Source organism: Homo sapiens, chromosome 13 (assembly GCF_000001405.40).
Source record: "Homo sapiens chromosome 13, GRCh38.p14 Primary Assembly".
NCBI classification, from domain to species: domain Eukaryota; kingdom Metazoa; phylum Chordata; class Mammalia; order Primates; family Hominidae; genus Homo; species Homo sapiens.
In genome coordinates this window covers 95,565,950-95,584,226 of record NC_000013.11, presented here as the reverse complement: position 1 = coordinate 95,584,226, position 18,277 = coordinate 95,565,950, and the positions used below count along the sequence as shown (strand labels likewise).

The 18,277-nt window shown below is 39.7% G+C and overlaps 2 protein-coding genes across 16 annotated transcripts in view; one reads left to right on the top strand and one right to left on the bottom strand.

The window, feature by feature from the left end:
- The window catches only part of DZIP1 (DAZ interacting zinc finger protein 1), a 66,505-nt gene extending 60,480 nt beyond the window's left edge, over nt 1-6,025 (top strand). For all 12 annotated transcript variants that reach the window (NM_014934.5, XM_047430180.1, XM_047430178.1 and 9 more), the window contains one exon: nt 1,914-6,025. In NM_014934.5, coding sequence (NP_055749.1) covers nt 1,914-1,993 — 80 coding nt within the window. In that variant the 3' untranslated portion in view covers nt 1,994-6,025. The remainder of the gene's footprint in view (nt 1-1,913) is intronic.
- Nucleotides 4,468-18,277, bottom strand: part of CLDN10 (claudin 10) — a 146,005-nt gene continuing 132,195 nt past the window's right edge. For all 4 annotated transcript variants that reach the window (NM_182848.4, NM_001160100.2, XM_047430765.1 and 1 more), the window contains 2 exons: nt 6,889-6,996; nt 4,468-6,327 (listed from right to left, as the gene is read on the bottom strand). In NM_182848.4, the coding sequence (NP_878268.1) occupies nt 6,213-6,327; nt 6,889-6,996 (223 nt within the window). In that variant the 3' untranslated portion in view covers nt 4,468-6,212. The remainder of the gene's footprint in view (nt 6,328-6,888; nt 6,997-18,277) is intronic.

Here is an 18,277-nt window from a genome sequence, read left to right as displayed (position 1 = left end):
AAGGCGGGCAGATCACGAGGTCAAGAGATTGAGACCATCCTGGCCAACATGGTGAAACGCTGTCTCTGCTAAAAATACAAAAATTAGTTGGGCATGGTGGTGCGCGCCTGTAGTCCTAGCTACTTGGGAGGCTAAGGCAGGAGAATTGCTTGAACCTGGGAAGTGGAGGTTGCAGTGAGCTGAGATCACGCCACTGCACTCCAGCCTGGCAAAAGAGTGAGACTCTGTCTCAAAAAAAATTTATTATTATTATTTTTTTATTTTTTTTAGGATATGGGGTCTCACTATGTTGCCTAGGCTGGATTCAAACTCCTGGGCTCAAGCAATCCTTCTGCCTCAGTCTCCTGAGTAGCTGTGACTACAGATGTGCACCACCATGCCCAGCTTTTATATTATTTTTAAAAATGTCTATACACGTATTCTCTTCATGAAGATGCCTTTTAGGAATTAAAATTTCTGATCATATACCTGAATGAGACCACTCTTCTGGCAGTCTCTCTGTATTAGTCTGTTTCCCTATTAAATATTTTTCTTCATTTTCTCCCAAGGGAGGTTTCTCTTGTAGCCGTGTAGTCAGTGGGATGAAATACTATGAGATAATTACTTGAAATGATTTTCATATCCCCCAATCTAGAGCCTAGATAAGCCCAATAACTTAGTAATTTTTTTTTAAATTAGAAAATTGTAATTTTTTTGTCAAAGTAATTCTTGCACATGTTGAAAGCTGAGTTGTTCAGAAGGCTTCTCTATGCCATCGCACCACCTTCATTAGTGGTAGCTCTGTGCCTCTCAGTAATGGCCTTAAACCACTCTTTGTTGATTCATTGACTTTAGATATTAACTGTTGATGTCCTGCAAAGACAGATGGGGACTTGGCTCATTTTCACCACCCACCGCACCTCTCACGCCTTCTTCACTGTTTTTGTACTCCTACTTATAATTTTATTACTTTTTTTTTTTTTTTAAGAGATGGGGTCTCACCAGCTTGCCCAGGCTGGTGTCAAACTCCTGGGCTCAAATGATCCTCCCACCCCAGCCTCCCAAACTGTTGGGATTACAGGTGTCAGCCACTGCACCCAGACTGTAATTTTAAGTTAATACCTGCATGTCTCCACCCTTGCTCTTTCCATTTTCAGCAGCCTCTCGCCCCTTTGTAAGATAAGATGTTGCTGCCTGTCTCCTTCACGCTACCTTTTCTCTCACATTGTCCAGTTATAACATAGCTGTTGCATAACTGGCATCAGTTATCTGTGCTAAGCATCAACTCTAATTATTGAAAACCAGGAGACCTGTTGGCATTAGAGTGACTCTTTACAGGGCCAAGAGGATGCCCTAAGGACATCTCCTGTCTCTTTCCTCCAACATCATAAACCTGTGCCCCTGGAGGAACACATTTCTAGAGTCAAACTTGAGTGGAATTCTCTGCACTCTATTTCACTGGCTCAAAATCATGGCATTTTAAAATTGACTTCGTTGTTAATCCTATCTACCTAGAAAATATGTTTTTAACACTTTACTTGGCTTGCTAATTTCATCCTTCTTTCTTTACCATCTATTCACTCAGAGTCAGTAACTACAACACAAATGTACTGAGCACCTTCAACATCCAGGCCCTGAGCTGAATGCTGGGGAAGGAGTGGGAAGCAGGATGTGGTCCCTGCTGTTTGTAGGCTGCAGGGCAGAAGCTTGCATCCAAGGGTCCTGAGTGTATCCTAGAGATGCGACCAGTTCACAGTTGGATTTTAAAGTGGCGTCCTATACATAGCTCATGAGGGTTGGGAGATGAGGATTCATGAACAGATTTAGACACTGAGTGATTAATGACAATATGAAATTATGGATTTTTATAGACTTGACAATGTGCTTGTTTAACCATTGAGGCCTTCTCTTCTGCCTCTACCCACCACTTACAGGACTTCAAGAAAATGAATCAAGCACATTAAAAAGCAGCTTAGTAACTGTGACTGATTGGAGCGACACTTCAGATGTCTAATTCCACATGTCAGAAGATTATTCCAGAAGCCAGCAGTATTTCAGTATCACAGTGTTTCAGTAATTTGCCTCCATGATTCTAGTGCTTCTGCCTTACCGTGTTTCCCACAGCAACACAGAGACTGATTCAAAGAACAATGGTCTCTTTAATGGCACCCAATACAGTATTGAAAATCAGATCATCAACAGTATTTCGAAGCATGTAAAGGTGTTTAAGACTTCCGCTGCTGCTTAAAAATAACATGTCATTGAAGTCATAAAAAGTTTTTTCTTCAGAAAGGTACTCTAGTGTTAAGTGTATTTTTTTCAACTAATTTTTTAGTGAATTTTTTTTAAACTTACAGCATGTTTTGGTTTGAATTACTAAAACTTTAAAAAATATTTTTCTTATGTATGCTGTCGTATCGTAGGCGTTTATATTATAAAATTCTGTTAGTAGTCTTAAAATTGAATTGGTGGAACCACTAATCCTTAAAAGTTAGTCTGGTTATTTTTCATATAGAAGTAAGTTTAATCCGAGTGTGGTGGTGTTCACCTTTAATCCCAGCTACTTGGGAGGCTGAGGTGGGAGGATAACTTGAGCACAGGAGTTCAAGACCAGCGTGGGCAATATAGCAAGACTCCACCCCTCCACACCCCAAAAAAGTAAGTTTAGGATTAGAATATAGCTAGGTCCAATGTTAAATACATTTTCCTGGAGTACATTTGTCACATTCAGCTTTGAGCCACTGTAAGCATGTTACTATTAAATGGTTGGTTATTTTATATAGCATATTCTTTATCTTGGATATTTTATGAATAAAGTATAGTTATTTTAAGTGCCAATTAATTTATCAGACTAAATAGAAAATATTTGAGCCATTACTGAATTCACATATGTATGTTTTTTTTTACTATTTAAAATACCCAACATGTATTATGAAATACCTCAAAAGTAATTTAGTTACATTCTTAAACAATGACATTGTCGAAAGAAAGTTCTTATAAGCTGTTTTTTGCATTTTTATAACTTGGTTATACTATATTCTGTTTCCAAGTAACCTTTTAACTAAAAGATTTGTTGGGTTTTAGATCTCTTTTCATTTGTCAACCTTTTCAGTAAAGCCCTCTGTTACATCACTGTGACTGTGGCTGTGTTATTAGAGATGAATTCTGAGTTAAATTTGTACTTATTAGGGGTCTTACAGAGGGAGAATCTGGCCTTGATTGCTATGCCATATGACATTCTGTCCTAATGGTTAGAACAAATCTTTATCTGTTTCCACCCACCCTGGGATCCTTTTTACTTGTAGCCCATTCCTGCCCTCTAAAAGAATCCTTCCAACTTCCTATAGGGGCCATTTCATGCAGATATACTCACTTTATATGTATGTTTCTAAAAGCTTTAGTGAAGGCTGAATCCAAGTTTCATGTAGTAGGACAGAGAACAGAAGGCCGAATCCAAGTTTCATGTGGTAGGACAGAGAACGGCAATCTACAAAACTACACCAAGCCTAAGATGGCCCATGTGCCACTTTGTTCATTCATTTATTTATTCAGCAGATATTTATTGAACCACTTGGTCTGGTTTGGTTTTGAACACGCACTAATTCATTTAATTACAACAACTTTGCGATGTAGTTATTGTTATAATCCTCATCCTAAAGGTGTGAGAAACAGAGTTATTAAGTAAGTTGCCAGAAGCCATACAAGTACAAAGTGTCAAGGGGAGACTTTAAGCCAGGTCTCTATTCCATGTTTTGTGTCTGCCATGTTTTCATTCCTGAGCAGAAGAGCTTGGGGAAATGAACTTTTGCTAAGTAAACCCAGTATTTAAATTAAGTCACTATATCTGTGTCTTTTAAGAGCCCCTCCTTTAGCTTACATGGTTAGTTGTATCTTTTTTTTTTTTTTTTTTTGAGACAGAGTCTCACTATGTTGCCCAGGCTTGAGCGCAGTGGCACCATCTCGGCTCACTACAACCTCCGCCTCCCAGATTCAAGCGATTTTCCTGCCTCAGCCTCCCAAGTAGCTGGGATTACAGGTGCCCACCACCATGCCTGGCTTAATTTTTTGTATTTTTAGTAGAGATGAGGTTTCACCATGTTGGCCAGACTGGTCTCGAACTCCTGACCTCAAATGATCCGCTGTCTTGTCCTCCCAAAGTGCTGGGATTATAGGCGTGAGCCATCGCGCCCTGCTGCATTTCATTTTTTTGTATAAAATTTGGTTTGTTCGTTTTTGAGGGGAACCATTCCTTTATGTTGCCCCTTACTGATGCCCAACTAATGTGTTTCTGGTTACTAACAGACCTTCATCCCCCACCCTCCCTAAATTCTTCGGTGTAATCTAAGCGTTATCTGCACCACTTCTGAATAATAAATGTGTTTGAAATGCACACCTACACAACCCTGTCCCACACTGGCCTGTAGGACCTAATCTACCTTCATGTCTTTCAGTTGATTTGTATTTCTGCAAAAGATATTTCAAGGATTATCAAGGTATGGAATTTTTTTTATTTTTTATCTTTTAACAAACTTGTTCATTTCCTTTTCTTTCCATTGAGCACCTCTGAACAATGTGATTCTTTTTTTTAAGTCTTTCACACTTCAGGAAAATACTACATTCACCCACGTTGTGATTCATATCGGACAGTTTCTTACTCAAAGATAACACAAATACCAATTCTTATTCATACTTTGAAACTATATTTTACCCTAGACTGCCTTGGTTCAAAGGCCTAGTTTCGACATTACTGTGGCAAATTATTTAAGCTCTCTGTTTTCATTTCTTTTTCTGTAAATGCAGGATGAAAACAATATGTATCTCCTAGGATGGCTGTGAGGAGTGAGTGAGACAGGACATGAAAGGTGTGTATGAACTGTGATAACTGTTGCCCTTGTGGGCATGTTATATAGGGCTGGCTCTAGGAAGAAGCCTGTGTCTTTTTTCAGAAATCCCTGGAGCAACTTAAATGTCTTTAGAAATGACAAGTCTCTCAGTTATCCAGTTAGCCGTAAACAGGTTCTGGAAGACACACCTAGATAGAACTCGGCCCGTCAGTTCTGAGTGAGGCACGTACCACTTGGGCTTGGGATGTCCTTAACCCATTTATGCCTGAGGTTGCAATTTTTTGAATTTTTCCAATCACACCTTGGCGATGACCTTGAGCAGTAGGATATAAATAACTCCCACATGCTTAGTGTTCCAATAATGGAACACTAGGCATAAACAGGTTTTAATTGGCTCCTCAGTCAACCATGACCAATATCTCTATCTCAGCTTCTGCTGATGCCCTAGCTCAGGGCTCTGCATTCCGTGCCAGGGACGCCTCAGCCCCTTAACATGGATGTGCCACATGACAGGCAATAATATATTGGCCCCATTAGCCCTTCCTGGAGCAGTCATAATGAATTACAGTCATGACAGGCACATGTAAGAAACCAAAATTTGCTAAATATGTACATGAGTCTTCATCACAGCATCGTTTATGAAAACAACTAAATATTCACTAATGGTGCCAGTGGAATAAATCAGAGAACATCCCCTGCTACGTAACTCTCTGCATACATCAAAGAGAATGGTGTGGCTTTGCTTTTTCAACAATCTACTGAGTGGCCATGGGCATGTGGATATGGCCATGAATGAGCAAGATCCTCTCTGATCCTGTAGAAGTTAAGTTCTACCAGATAACTTGCTGCTTCAACAAAAAGATTTACCTTTTTAAATAAATGTTGTAGAATACTTAAAAAAAACAAACTAGAATTTGCCTGTGTGCAGCCAGTAACATGTCTATTTAACCTGGACACCTTTTGAGGAATATTCTCAGATTGCCCCCATGCTGTTTATAAGACATTGTTCCTTATACACCTGTTTATGAATGAAAAGAAACATAAGGAGTGGGTACAAAGACTTCTATCTATGAATGATTAAAAAGGCTAGAGTACGAATACTTCTTGAACCTTTGGTACTAAATGCTTTTCATGTTCTATATAAATGTAGAAAACATTTTACAAATCCTGTAAATAAACTGTTTATTTTTTATAGAAAGCCACAACAGAAAATGATTAGTATATAACTAACTATGTAAGAACACTTACATCCATACAATCAACAGATGCTTCAAATGCATATTTTAAAAATAGTTTTGAGTGTTAATTATGGGAGGGCCTTGATGGGATCATTTTGTGAACAGTTCGCTTTTATAACAAACTCAAGAGGCAGCTTGCCAGCGAGCTCTTTTAGACATAAGCATTTTTATCAAACTGTTTTGAAGGGTTTGTTGTTTTAAAATCTTCTCCACCATGATACTTTGTCCGAGAAGACATGACAGATGTGGCCCCGTTGTATGTGTATCTGAAAGGTAAAACATAGTTTGGTAGATTCTATTCTACACATAGGGCAAACAAAAATGGGAAGAAACTGTTTCGGCCTGTCTCTGCCAATATCTAAATGTAAATCTTCCTCTTTCTTAGATAGCTTTCTTCTCTCCTCTTGCCCCAAGAAGTATTTTCAGTGTCATTTCTGAGTGGGATGGAGAATCTCTGCAGAAGAAACTCATGACTTGGTCATTTGTTCAGTTATCCTCTTACAAAACCATGTTTTAAAACTCACCCTCCTGGAAGCTAGGAGACTTAGTAGAGGCCATCAACATTCCTGCCTACCTAGAGGAAAATTATGATGAGGCCAACGTGAAGAACATGTCCTCATATTCAGACCCTTATTTCTACGTTAGAATTTTCTTTGGAATATAGTAATGGTAAAACTTTAAAAAATTAACTGTACTGCTAACCTTTTCCAATTCCGGATTTTGGAAGTTTCTAAGAATCATATGAACTATCTGTAATTTGTTCCACATGTAATGATTTATGATAGCATTCTACTTTTTAACAGGTCATTTTTGTCTCTTTTTCATACCTGGGTGTTTTGTTGTTGTCAGATATTGAAAAGCAAAATATGACACCACCAATTATGCACAGTGAGGCTCCTGCCCATCCAATAAACAGAGCGGCTCCTAATTCATACCTGTGAGAAAGCATTACACAAGTATTACAGCTCACTTATTTGGAGAGTAAACAGTATTTAACACTGATAGTCAACATTTACTAAATGCTTATTATGTTTTTTTGCTATTGAAAATTGTAAAGGAAATAATAACACCTTGTGTCTGTAAAATGCTGTAAACTCTTCCCAAAGTGTTTTTATAGCCATTAGACCATCCCAACATCCTGAAAGGAGATGAGGGCATCCACGGGGGCAAAGTCAAAGCAAAAGTAGTCACAGCCAGGGTCTCCTGACTCAGCCAGCACCTTTCCTCTGCACGCTGCCTTAACCTTGCCAAGCTTTCCATCTATTTGTTCTGTTCTGCAGCGCAAATCATTTAGGCAGACTGTAGTTAGTTAGAAAACAAAAGGTTGCTTTTGCTTTCATGTTAGTTCAATTTAGTAAATGTTTATTAAGCACGTGCTATGTGCAAATCGTCACTAATCGCTGCAGTCTAGTGGGGAAATGAATCAATAGCTATCATTTAGTGATAAATTACTATTAAGGATCTCCCATATGGCAGGTGACAGTGCTCTGCCGATGACCGCAGCAGGAGCAGATGCAAAGATAAACAAGACAGTACTTCCCCTGGGAAGGCCACGAAACAAAGGTATGAACAGTGCTACTGAGGACAAAAAACAAGATCACTTGCAGTAGCGGACTAGAGGAAATCCTTTCAGGGGAGATATATTCACCCAGAGAACAAGGAATGAGAAAAGTACACCAAAATTTCAGGGACTATGTGTGTTCTCATGTTTGTTTAGCTTTCTCCAGAAGAATAGGTTGATTTTAGGTTTTTGTTTGTTTGTTTTTATAAAGAGTAACTCTTATTTGGGGCCCATAAACTTCCATTGCAAGGCAAAAGAAATCTTGGTGCTTTTCAGTGTAAAATAAAGCCAGGGTCGGAGGGTCTGTTTTGATTGCACAGAATCCATAGGGGAGATGAGGCAAGAAAGTAAGAGGTCCAGGAGAAGGCAAGACAGGGCCCAGGGTTAGTTCCTTCCTCAGGGTGCAGGGGAGCCAAGTTCAAGAGCTGAGGCCAGGCTTCGGTATCAGATCAAGGCCACCCAGTGCTGCCTGGGTTCGTCCTGAGCCTTGCTGCACCCCTGCCTACTTGAAGTGTCACTATCTCTGAACTCTGGCTCTGCACATGGGCAGGCTTTCTGGTGTGGTCTGAGTCGCAGGCAGGGTGGTGTAATAGGGTGGGCCCATCACTAGCCAGGGGAGCAGGAAGCAGGGCGTGCTTTTAATCAAGCATGCATGGTACCTGGCACTGGCATCCTATTTTAGTGAACCTCAGTATTTTAAGACACATATCACATTGATCAGGGACACGGGGCCCACTTGTGCATTTTCATTTGGGATGGAGTTACGTGCACAAGAAATGCTGCTCTGTGACCCTTTCTTTACTCACTCTTGTGTTGCCTTTCCTGGGACATCAGGGTGACTGATGGGGCAAGGAACAGCTGCAACAGAATAACTAGGGGGAAGCCCCTCCTGCCCTGGAGCACTAACTGTGCTTTGGCATCTGAGAAACTTCAGCGGGTTCCCTTAAGGGGCAATGGCAGAGACAGAGGGTTTGTATAAGCGAGGAAAAACACCCTCAGTCTACACACACACACGAACTGAGCAGCGAAGTCCACAGGTGAAAAAAGAGCTGGCTAAATCAGGAGTGCTGACCGGGAGTTTCAGAAAAGATACTTTCATTAAATATTGTGTTACACACCTGAAAAAGATGCCCCGGATTTCTGCAATCAGCCCTGCTTTTATGTTGTTTTAATGAGATTATGCACAGACAACAAGCAGCATGCCTGCCAAACTGGAGGTGCATGTCATTTGGCCCCTGAAACACCTGGAAATCCTAGAAGATGGCATCAGATCTGTCTGTTGGCACCCTTTTTACTGCAGACAACTAAAGGAATGAGCATAACTGAAAAATTCTGCATGAAGTACATTATTATAGGATGACTATAATTGTATAACGCTTTCTATTTTTCTCTGTTTTTTTCCCAGTACAGGTTAGGCTATCTTCTCTCCTGAAACTATACCTTAATATTACTCTTAGTGTAAATATGCCCTGAAAACATGGTCTGAGATTTTTCTGAAAATATTGAGCTTCACTAAAATAGAATGCCAGTGCCAGATACCATGGTTGATTACAAATAAATAAATATCTAATTATTAATAGTGGCCAGTTGGGGGATGAAGATGATAGAAATCATAAGCATAGCTTGGCACAATGAGTTCACTGAAAGGAGCATTACAAACACAGACACAGTATTGCTACAAATCACAGGATAAATTACCCAGGCGGATGAGGAATTGGGTCTATGTTAAGCCATATTGAAACTTTCTGGAGAAATTTAGGAATCATGAGTTTGGCTTATATTAATATTTAATATCTTTTTAAATATATCCTTTTTTATGTATCTTTTTCTTTTTTGAGATGGAATCTCACTGTGTCACCCAGGCTGGAGTGCAGTGGTGCAATCTTAGCTCACTGCAACCTCCACCTCCCGAGTTCAAGCGATTCTCCTGCCTCAGCCTCCCGAGTAGCTGGGATTACAGGTGTGTGCCACCATGCCCAGCTAATTTTTGTATTTTCAGTAGAGACAGGGTTTCCCCATGTTGGCCAAGCTGGTCTCGCACTCCTGACCTCAGGTGATCCACCCACCTCAGCCTCCTAAAGGGCTGAGATTACAGGTGTGAACCACCACACGTGGCCCTTTTTGAAAAATATCTAAGTCACTACATATTCACTCTATTCCAAGGAAAAAATCATTTCCATTTGCATTTCAGTGTGAATTATGTTGGAGACAAACATTTAATAGACAGTATCCATTTGGAGATGATTTCAGAAACCATACATCTACCCCATTTTTTTTTTAACAATTTGGATGTGAGGGCTCTTGTTTGTTCTTTCAGAGACTTTTCCTTCTTTCTATTGAAAGACACATATCACAGACTTACTCAACAGTGACTTTAATTCACACCTCTCCGTGTGTATCTGGCAAAAATTGACATGTGTTCATATGTTTATTGCGGCACTATTCACAATAGCAAAGACTTGGAACCAACCCAAATGTCCATCAATGATGGACTGGATTAAGAAAATGTGGCACATATACACCATGGAATACTATACAGCCATAAAAAAGTATGAATTTATGTCCTTTGCAGGGATATGGATGAAGCTGGAAAACATTATTCTCAGCAAACTATCACAAGGACAGAAAACCAAACACCACATGTTCTCACTCACAAGTGGGAATTAAACAATGAGATCACTTGGACACAGGGTGGGGAACATCACACACGGGGGCCTGTTGTGGGGGGAGGAGGGAGGGATAGCATTAGGAGAAATACCTAATGTAAATGACGAGTTGATGGGTACAGCAAACCAACATGGCACATGTAAACCTGTGTATCAAACCTGCATGTTGTGCACATGTACCCTAGAACTTAGAGGTACACACACACACACACACACACACAAATAAAAATAAAAATAAATTTAAAAATATCAAAAAAAACTGACGTGTGTTATTGAAAGACAGGGTTGAGAAAGAGATGAACATAATATCCACTCCAGTTTGTTCCCAAGGCACATATTCTTTCACATTGATTAGGAGACTTATTTAGTCTCTGTCTGGAAATCTTTCTTCCTTTTCGGTAACACTAAGAAGCTGATTTCAACACCTTGGTAAGATTATCCAAATTTCAGATTCTCTGTTGCAGGTCTTTTGTGAACAATATCCTCCTGGCCCTCGGCCAGCCTTCCTGCTCAGAGTGTGCCCTCTTTATGACTAATACCAAAGTTTCTTCATTATTCTGAAAGGTTGCAAATCTACATGACACTGGACCAATCCATATCCATGACTTTCAGGTTGAGGACAGAACTTCATTTATGGAGGAAAACATTGTTTTTAGAGGATCTTGGTGATGGACTAATCAAAAGCTGCGCGTATAACTTCAATACACATTAATAAAGTCACTGAGTGGCTTTAGAAACAAGGAATGTGGAACAAATTTACTTCTAACAGAAATTAAAACACAGATAACCACTTATTATTTTCTCAAAGAAGAAACCATAAAGATCTAAGGTGAAGTCACTCTCCACCCAGCTGTATGTGGTGCTGTAGGCTGTTGCCCATGGCTCTCATTTCATGTTGAGCTGGCCAGGGCTACACCAACCTGGAGACCTTGATTCTGATGCATTTCATACTTCAACTTGTAGTTTAGCCATTTAGAGTAATCCTAAGGAAATGGAATGCTGAACAACTTACTTTCACCTCCTGCTTTTGTCTTCCTGGCACCCAAATCCCTATTCTGAGTTAGGTTTGCCATCCATGGGGAGCTGGTGTAACCTCCTCTGGTTACCTACACAGAAATGACATGCCAGGTATTGTGCTAATCAGGTGTTCAGGGCAGATAAGAGGGACATGGCCCTGGCTCACAGATCCAGATTGTATAGTCTAGTGGGGATAGTCAGACATTAAACTGATAATTACAGTAAAGTGTGATCAAACAATAAAAAGAGCATGTTTTTGCAAAGTAAACATTACCGTGGTTCTCCCAAACACGCTCAGATGTGGTTCAAGTCAATGTCCATAGTAGCTAACAATAGCTACTATTACTGTCAGCTCATTGTACTAGGACTTTTCGGTGTGTGCTAAGATTTTTTCACAAATATTACCATATTCAATCTTCATCACAAGCCTGGGAGATAGGTATTACTATCCTCATTTTACAAATGAGGAAACTAAGGCTCTGGGAGATTAAATTACTTGTTCCTTCATGTCTCAGCCAAGTAAATGGTAGACCCAGGATTTAAAACCCATAACTGTGATTGCAAACCGAAGCTCTTAATTGTCATGCCATCATCCTTTTATGTACACTTTAAGTAAAAGATTTTATAACTATAAAAAACCCAATCAATGCAACATATTTTTAGTTGTCATTTCAGAAAGATCGGAGTTGTCTCTCTCCCTGGCTCATTAAGTTCTCAGTGGCTCAAGAGCTTCAGGGCACAGGATTTTTTTCTGAATGCCCTCGGGCTGCCTTTTCTTCCGGCACAAAAAGAGGTGAGGATACCAATTAAAATCAGGGCATGTTGGAGCTGAAAAAGGAAAGAGCAGCCACTCCCAAAACAAAGCAAGATCGGTTTTAACAAACGAAAGCACCTCATCCTTTTAAGATCCCCAGAGAAGTGAAGCGACCTTGCTGAAGGTCACAGAGCTAGGAGCCAGGTCTTTTGTCATCCTTCAATATTGTGTCTTTTTCAAACATATTGTCCTGCTCCTCATTTTAATCAAGAGTAGTAACAGCCAAAATGCATTTTCCAATTACCTTAAAATAACTACATAGGTTTTTTTACAAAGTTTAAAATCCAGAAAGTACACTCATATATTATCAAAGTTAACATTTCAAAATTGAATTCTATTGGTCTAACATAAAACTTTTTCTTCAGTGCATTGTCTTATATTAAATATAATCTATAATCTAAGATCTATATAACTGCATGAATTGATTTTATTTTTATATAAGTATTCTACAGCAATTATCAGCATTTCCCCAAAATACGCCTCATTCTTTTGGGGCCCCAGTTATGTGGGGTGCCCGCTGATCCTGCGTATCTCTCTGAGGCTGCCATGGTCCAGTCTCTCTTATGAGACGCTCAGCCTCCCCCTCTGCTGGGTTCTCTCCCACTGCCTGGCAGATGCCAAAGGACTTCCTACCCAAGGCATCCAACAAGACTTGCAAAATAGTGACAGGTGCCTCCCAAATGGTGGCTAAAGTAGGATGGAAAAATTTAAGTTATAAGTGTCTACTTATATATGGAAACTTCATAGAGAATTCTTACATTTAGGAAACCTAAAATAAAGACATTTGGGAGGGGGTACCTAAACAAAAAAACTGCTTTTCTGTGGCTAGATTATAACAGACATATGCCCATTATCCTTCCATGCACTGTGATTTTCATTAGGGTAGTTCAGAATTCTATAAATTGTATATATTAATAACAGGTAACATTGATTGATTACCTACCATGTGTCACTGTGGTGGATGCTTTCTAGACGTTTTCTTTGTATTTTCTAAAATGAACATGTTTCAAGGATTTTATTTAGCTCATTAACTAATTAGGGAAGCAGATATATTAGGTCTGTGCAAAAGTAATTGCAGTTTTTGCTATTAAAAGCAATGACAAAAACGCAATTACTTTTGCACCAACATAATATGTTACAAATTGTCCAAAGGTAAATTCAGGAAACATATTTAGGCAATCAGGAATGCTGAAATGAATTTATAAATAGTTATAAAACTGGTCTATATATATATATATATATATATATACACACGTATATGTGTGTGTGTGTGTGTGTATATATATATACATTTTTAAATTATGTATATATTTTATTCCTCCTATCTAACTGAAATTTCATATCTTTGGGCCAATATCTCCCCAATATGTTATCTTCTCTAATCCTCTTAACATTCAGAACAGGAAATATTGCCTCTGTTATCCAGTCAAGACAACTGCAATCTACCTAATATAACAGTAGAGTAAGGGCCAGGACTCTGGCCCGGGCCAGGATCTGAGCTGAGTCAAACTCCAAAACCTCACCCTTCTCCTCTCCACCACCTGCCTCTCTAATAGTGTGTAAAGTGATCAGTGAGTGTCTACACAGAAGTACTAATTCTTGAAAATTATTCACAGAAATTTAAAAACCATCCACAGTAGGACTAAATCTAATGTTGGCTAATCTTTGTTAGCCAAAGTAAACTGTAATGTAAAAGGAACATCTCATGTTCCAAAAGTCACATAGTTCAATTCAAAACCAAATCAGTTGCTTAGCACCATCCATGCCATTGATCTCCATTCGTGTGTGGATAATTGGGGGGTTTGCTTGGCCGTAAGTGAGAAATGAGGCACCGAGTCATAATAGTTACAGTAGGCACAATAACAGGTTTACATGCAGACTTTGAAGTCTGAATAAACTGACATCACAGAGAAGGCTGTGCTTCAAGATGGGAAATTCCTAAAATAACAAATACTGTCCTGAGCTGCCTTAGGGCATGGCCAGTATTGGTAAGCATGGGTCAAGAATCCGTGTGTGGATGTGGGTGTACGTGGCTTTGTGTTGAGGTAAAAATATACAGATGGACTTGCAGCAAAAGAAGCTTGGGTCAATCAAAAGTGAATCTGACATTAGGAGATCGAGACCATCCTGGCTAACACGGTGAAACCCCGTCTCTACTAAAAATATAAAAAATTAGCCGGGCGCGGTGGCGGGCGCCTGTAGTCCCAGCTACTTGGGAGACTGAGGCAGGAGAATGGCGTGAACCCAGGAGGCGGTGCTTGCAGTGAGCCGAGATCTCACCACTGCACTCCAGCCTGGGCGACAGAGCAAGACTCCGTCTCAAAAAAAAGGCGTATCTGACATTTTATTCAGTCTTCAAGTAACCTACCTGAGCACATTTTAGAATTGAACCAAGAGTATCCAGTTGACAACTTTAAATTATTACTTATCTCTAACTCAATGCTATGACAGAGGTGACCAACAATTTTTAAATTACACAAGCCTTATTTATTTTATTTTATATCTATTTATTTATTTTTTGAGGCAGAGTCTCACTCCCTCTGTTGCCCAGGCTGGAGTGCAGTGGTGCGATCTCAGCTCACTGCAACCTCCACCCCCCAGGTTCAAGTGATTCTCCTGCCTCAGCCTCTTGAGTAGCTGGGACTACAAGCACCTGCCACCACACCCAGCTCATTTTTGTATTTTTCATAGAGTCAGGGTTTCACCTTGTTGGCCAGTCTGGCCTTGAACTCCTGACCTCAAATGATCCACCCACGTTGGCCTCCCAAAGTGCTGGGATTACAGGCATGAGCCACTGCACCCAGCCAAGCCTTATAGTTTCATGCTAGGTCCCCTTCAAACGTGCCTTCTACTTGAGAGCCAAGTGTCTTAAAACAATTGTCTCTTCTACTAGGTCTCCAACATTTCAACATACATTTCTCTGTGGCTAACCTTAATAGATTACATAAGGTAATATACTATACATTAATATACTGTGCATTAGGGTCAGTATCCCTAAAAATAGTAGCTAGCATTTAGTAAGTGTTTACTATGAACTAGCATGATTCTAAACAGTTGAAGTATACTATCTCATTTAATCCTGACAACAGCCTCCTAGTATGTATTATCCTCATTCTACGGATGAAGGGCACTGGGCACAGAAAGGGTAAGTAACTTCTTCAAAGTTACACAGCTAGAAAGTGGCAGAGCGAGGGTTTACTCTCAGGCAGCCTGGATCCAGAGTCCTTATTCTTGAACAGTGTGCCATGCTGCCTCTCCCTGTTCCTTTAAGCGATCACCACAAGCACACTCCGTCTTACCATTCTAGGAGATATGCAGACAGACAGACAGTCCTACACCACTGCAGATTTACCATCCTTGCTGTAAGGATCATGGAGCATGGGTCCTCTACAAGAGATTCCAAAGTGAGTAACACATGGTTTCGACTTCTAGATGCTTGTGGTCTTGTTTAGGAGAACAACCAATAAATAAGCAGGTGCAAACCACCCAGTAGGGTTAGGATGGAAGCACGAGGTAGAAAGGGAGCACCCAAAACAGGGACACCCCACCCAAAATGCAGGTTCTGAAGGCTGATCAGAGGTTAGCCAGGATGTGAAAAGGAGAGGAGCAATGGGGGTAAGAGCTGAATTACCAGAAAGCAGGGCACGCTGGCAGAAATCATGATGTCATGCACTGGTCAGCAAAAACAAAAGAGAGCGCCAAATATTTAGTTCCCAAGCAGATTTTTAGGTCATGCTAGCATAACAAAAGCATCTAAGTAATTCTGGTGATCTGAGGTGGCCTGCACTATTTCTGAACAAACTGAAACCACTGAGTAACACTTTCTTAATATTTAACAGTTGAACTCTATTTTGTTCTTACCACTTGGCACTTATCTGGAATCTCCTATCTGAGAATATGTGAGATCACTACCAACATTAGTTCATCCTCCAAATAACTCATGAATGGAGTAAACTTAAATAAACAAACATCCATAATGTATTAAATTATAATAAGTATAGAAGAGAGAAATTAAACATCTTGACAAGGTCACCTGATGAGGTCAATATTCTTTTCAACCTCACCCAGGAAAATCTGTATAGCCTAGAAATTTACTTCTTACATTGTCTAGTGTCCATTCAACTTGACAACAAGAATGAGATAATTTGACTGAAAGTAGGTAGTTGTTCACATGCAAATCAATAAACGTAATCCATCACATAAACAGAACCAACGACAAAAACCACATGATTATCCCAATAGATGCAAAAAAGGCCTTCGACAAAATTCAACAGCCCTTCATGCTAAAAACTCTCAATAAACTACGTATTGATGGAACACATCTCAAAATAATAAGAGCTACTTATGACAAACCCACAGCCAATATCATACAGAATGGGCAAACCTGGAAGCATTCCCTTTGAAAACTGGCACAAGACAAGGATGCCCTCTCTCACCACTCCTATTCAACATAGTGTTGGAAGTTCTGGCCAGGGCAATCAGGCAAGAGAAAGAAATAAAGGGTATTCAATTAGGAAAAGAGGAAGTCAAATTGTCCCTGTTTGCAGATGACATGATTGTATATTCAGAAAACTCCATCGTCTTAGCCCCAAATCTCCTTAAGCTGATAAGCAACTTCAGCCAAGTTTCAGGATACAAAATCAATGTGCAAAAATCACAAGCATTCCTATACATCAATAACAGACAAACAGAGAGCCAAATCATGAGTGAACTCCCATTCACAATTGCTTCAAAGAGAATACAATATCTAGGAATCCAACTTACAAGGGATGTGAAGGACCTCTTCAAGGAGAACTACAAACCACTGCTCAACAAAATAAAAGAGGACATGAACAAATGGAAGAACACTCCATGCTCATGGATAGGAAGAATCAATATCGTGAAAATGGCCATACTGCCCAAGGTAATTTATAGATTCAGTGCCATCCCCATCAAGCTACCATTGACTTTCTTCACAATATTGGAAAAAACTACTCTAAAATTCATATGAAACCAAAAGAGAGCCCACATAGCCAAGACAATCCTAAGCAAAAAGAACAAAGCTGGAGGCATCACGCTACCTGACTTCAAACTATACTACAAGGCTACAGTAACCAAAACAGCAGGGTACTAATAACAAAACAGATATATAGACCAATGGAACAGAACAGAGGCCTCAGAAATAACACCACACATCTACAACCATCTGATCTTTAACAAACCTGACAAAAACAAGAAATGGGGAATGAATTCCCTATTTAATAAATGATGCTGGGAAAACTGGCTAGCCATATGTAAAAGCTGAAACTGGATCCCTTCCTTACACCTTATACAAAAATTAACTCAAGATGGATTAAAGAATTAAATGTAAGACATAAAACCATAAAAGCCCTAGAAGAAAACCTAGGCAATACCATTCAGGACATAGGCATGGGCAAAGACTTCCTGACTAAAACACCAAAAGCAATGGCAACAAAAGCCAAAATAGACAAATGAGATCTAATTAAACTAAAGAGCTTCTGCACAGCAAAAGAAACTGCCATCAGAGTGAACAAGCAACCTACAGAATGGGAGAAAATTTTTGCAATCTACCCATCTGACAAAGGGCTAATATCCAGAATCTACAATGAACTCAAACAAATTTACAAGAAAAAAACAACCCCATCAAAAAGTGGGCAAAGGATATGAACAGACACTTCTCAAAAGAAGACATTTATGCAGCCAACAGACACATGAAAAAATGCTCATCATCACTGCTCATCAGAGAAATGCAAATCAAAACCACAATGAGATACCATCCATGCCAGTTAGAATGGCGATCATTAAAAAGACAGGAAACAACAGATTCTGGGGAGGATGTGGAGAAATAGGAATGCTTTTACACTGTTGGTGGGAGTGTAAATTAGTTCAAACATTGTGGAAGACAGTGTAGCAATTCCTCAAGGATCTACAACTAGAAATAGCATTTGACTGAGTGATCCCATTACTGGGTATATACCCAAAGGATTATAAATCATGCTACTATAAAGACACATGCACATGTATGTTTATTGCGGCACTATTCACAATAGCAAAGAGTTGGAACAAACCCAAATGTCCATCAATGATGGACTGGATTAAGAAAATGTGGCACATATACACCATGGAATACTATGCAGCCATAAAAAAGGATGAGTTCA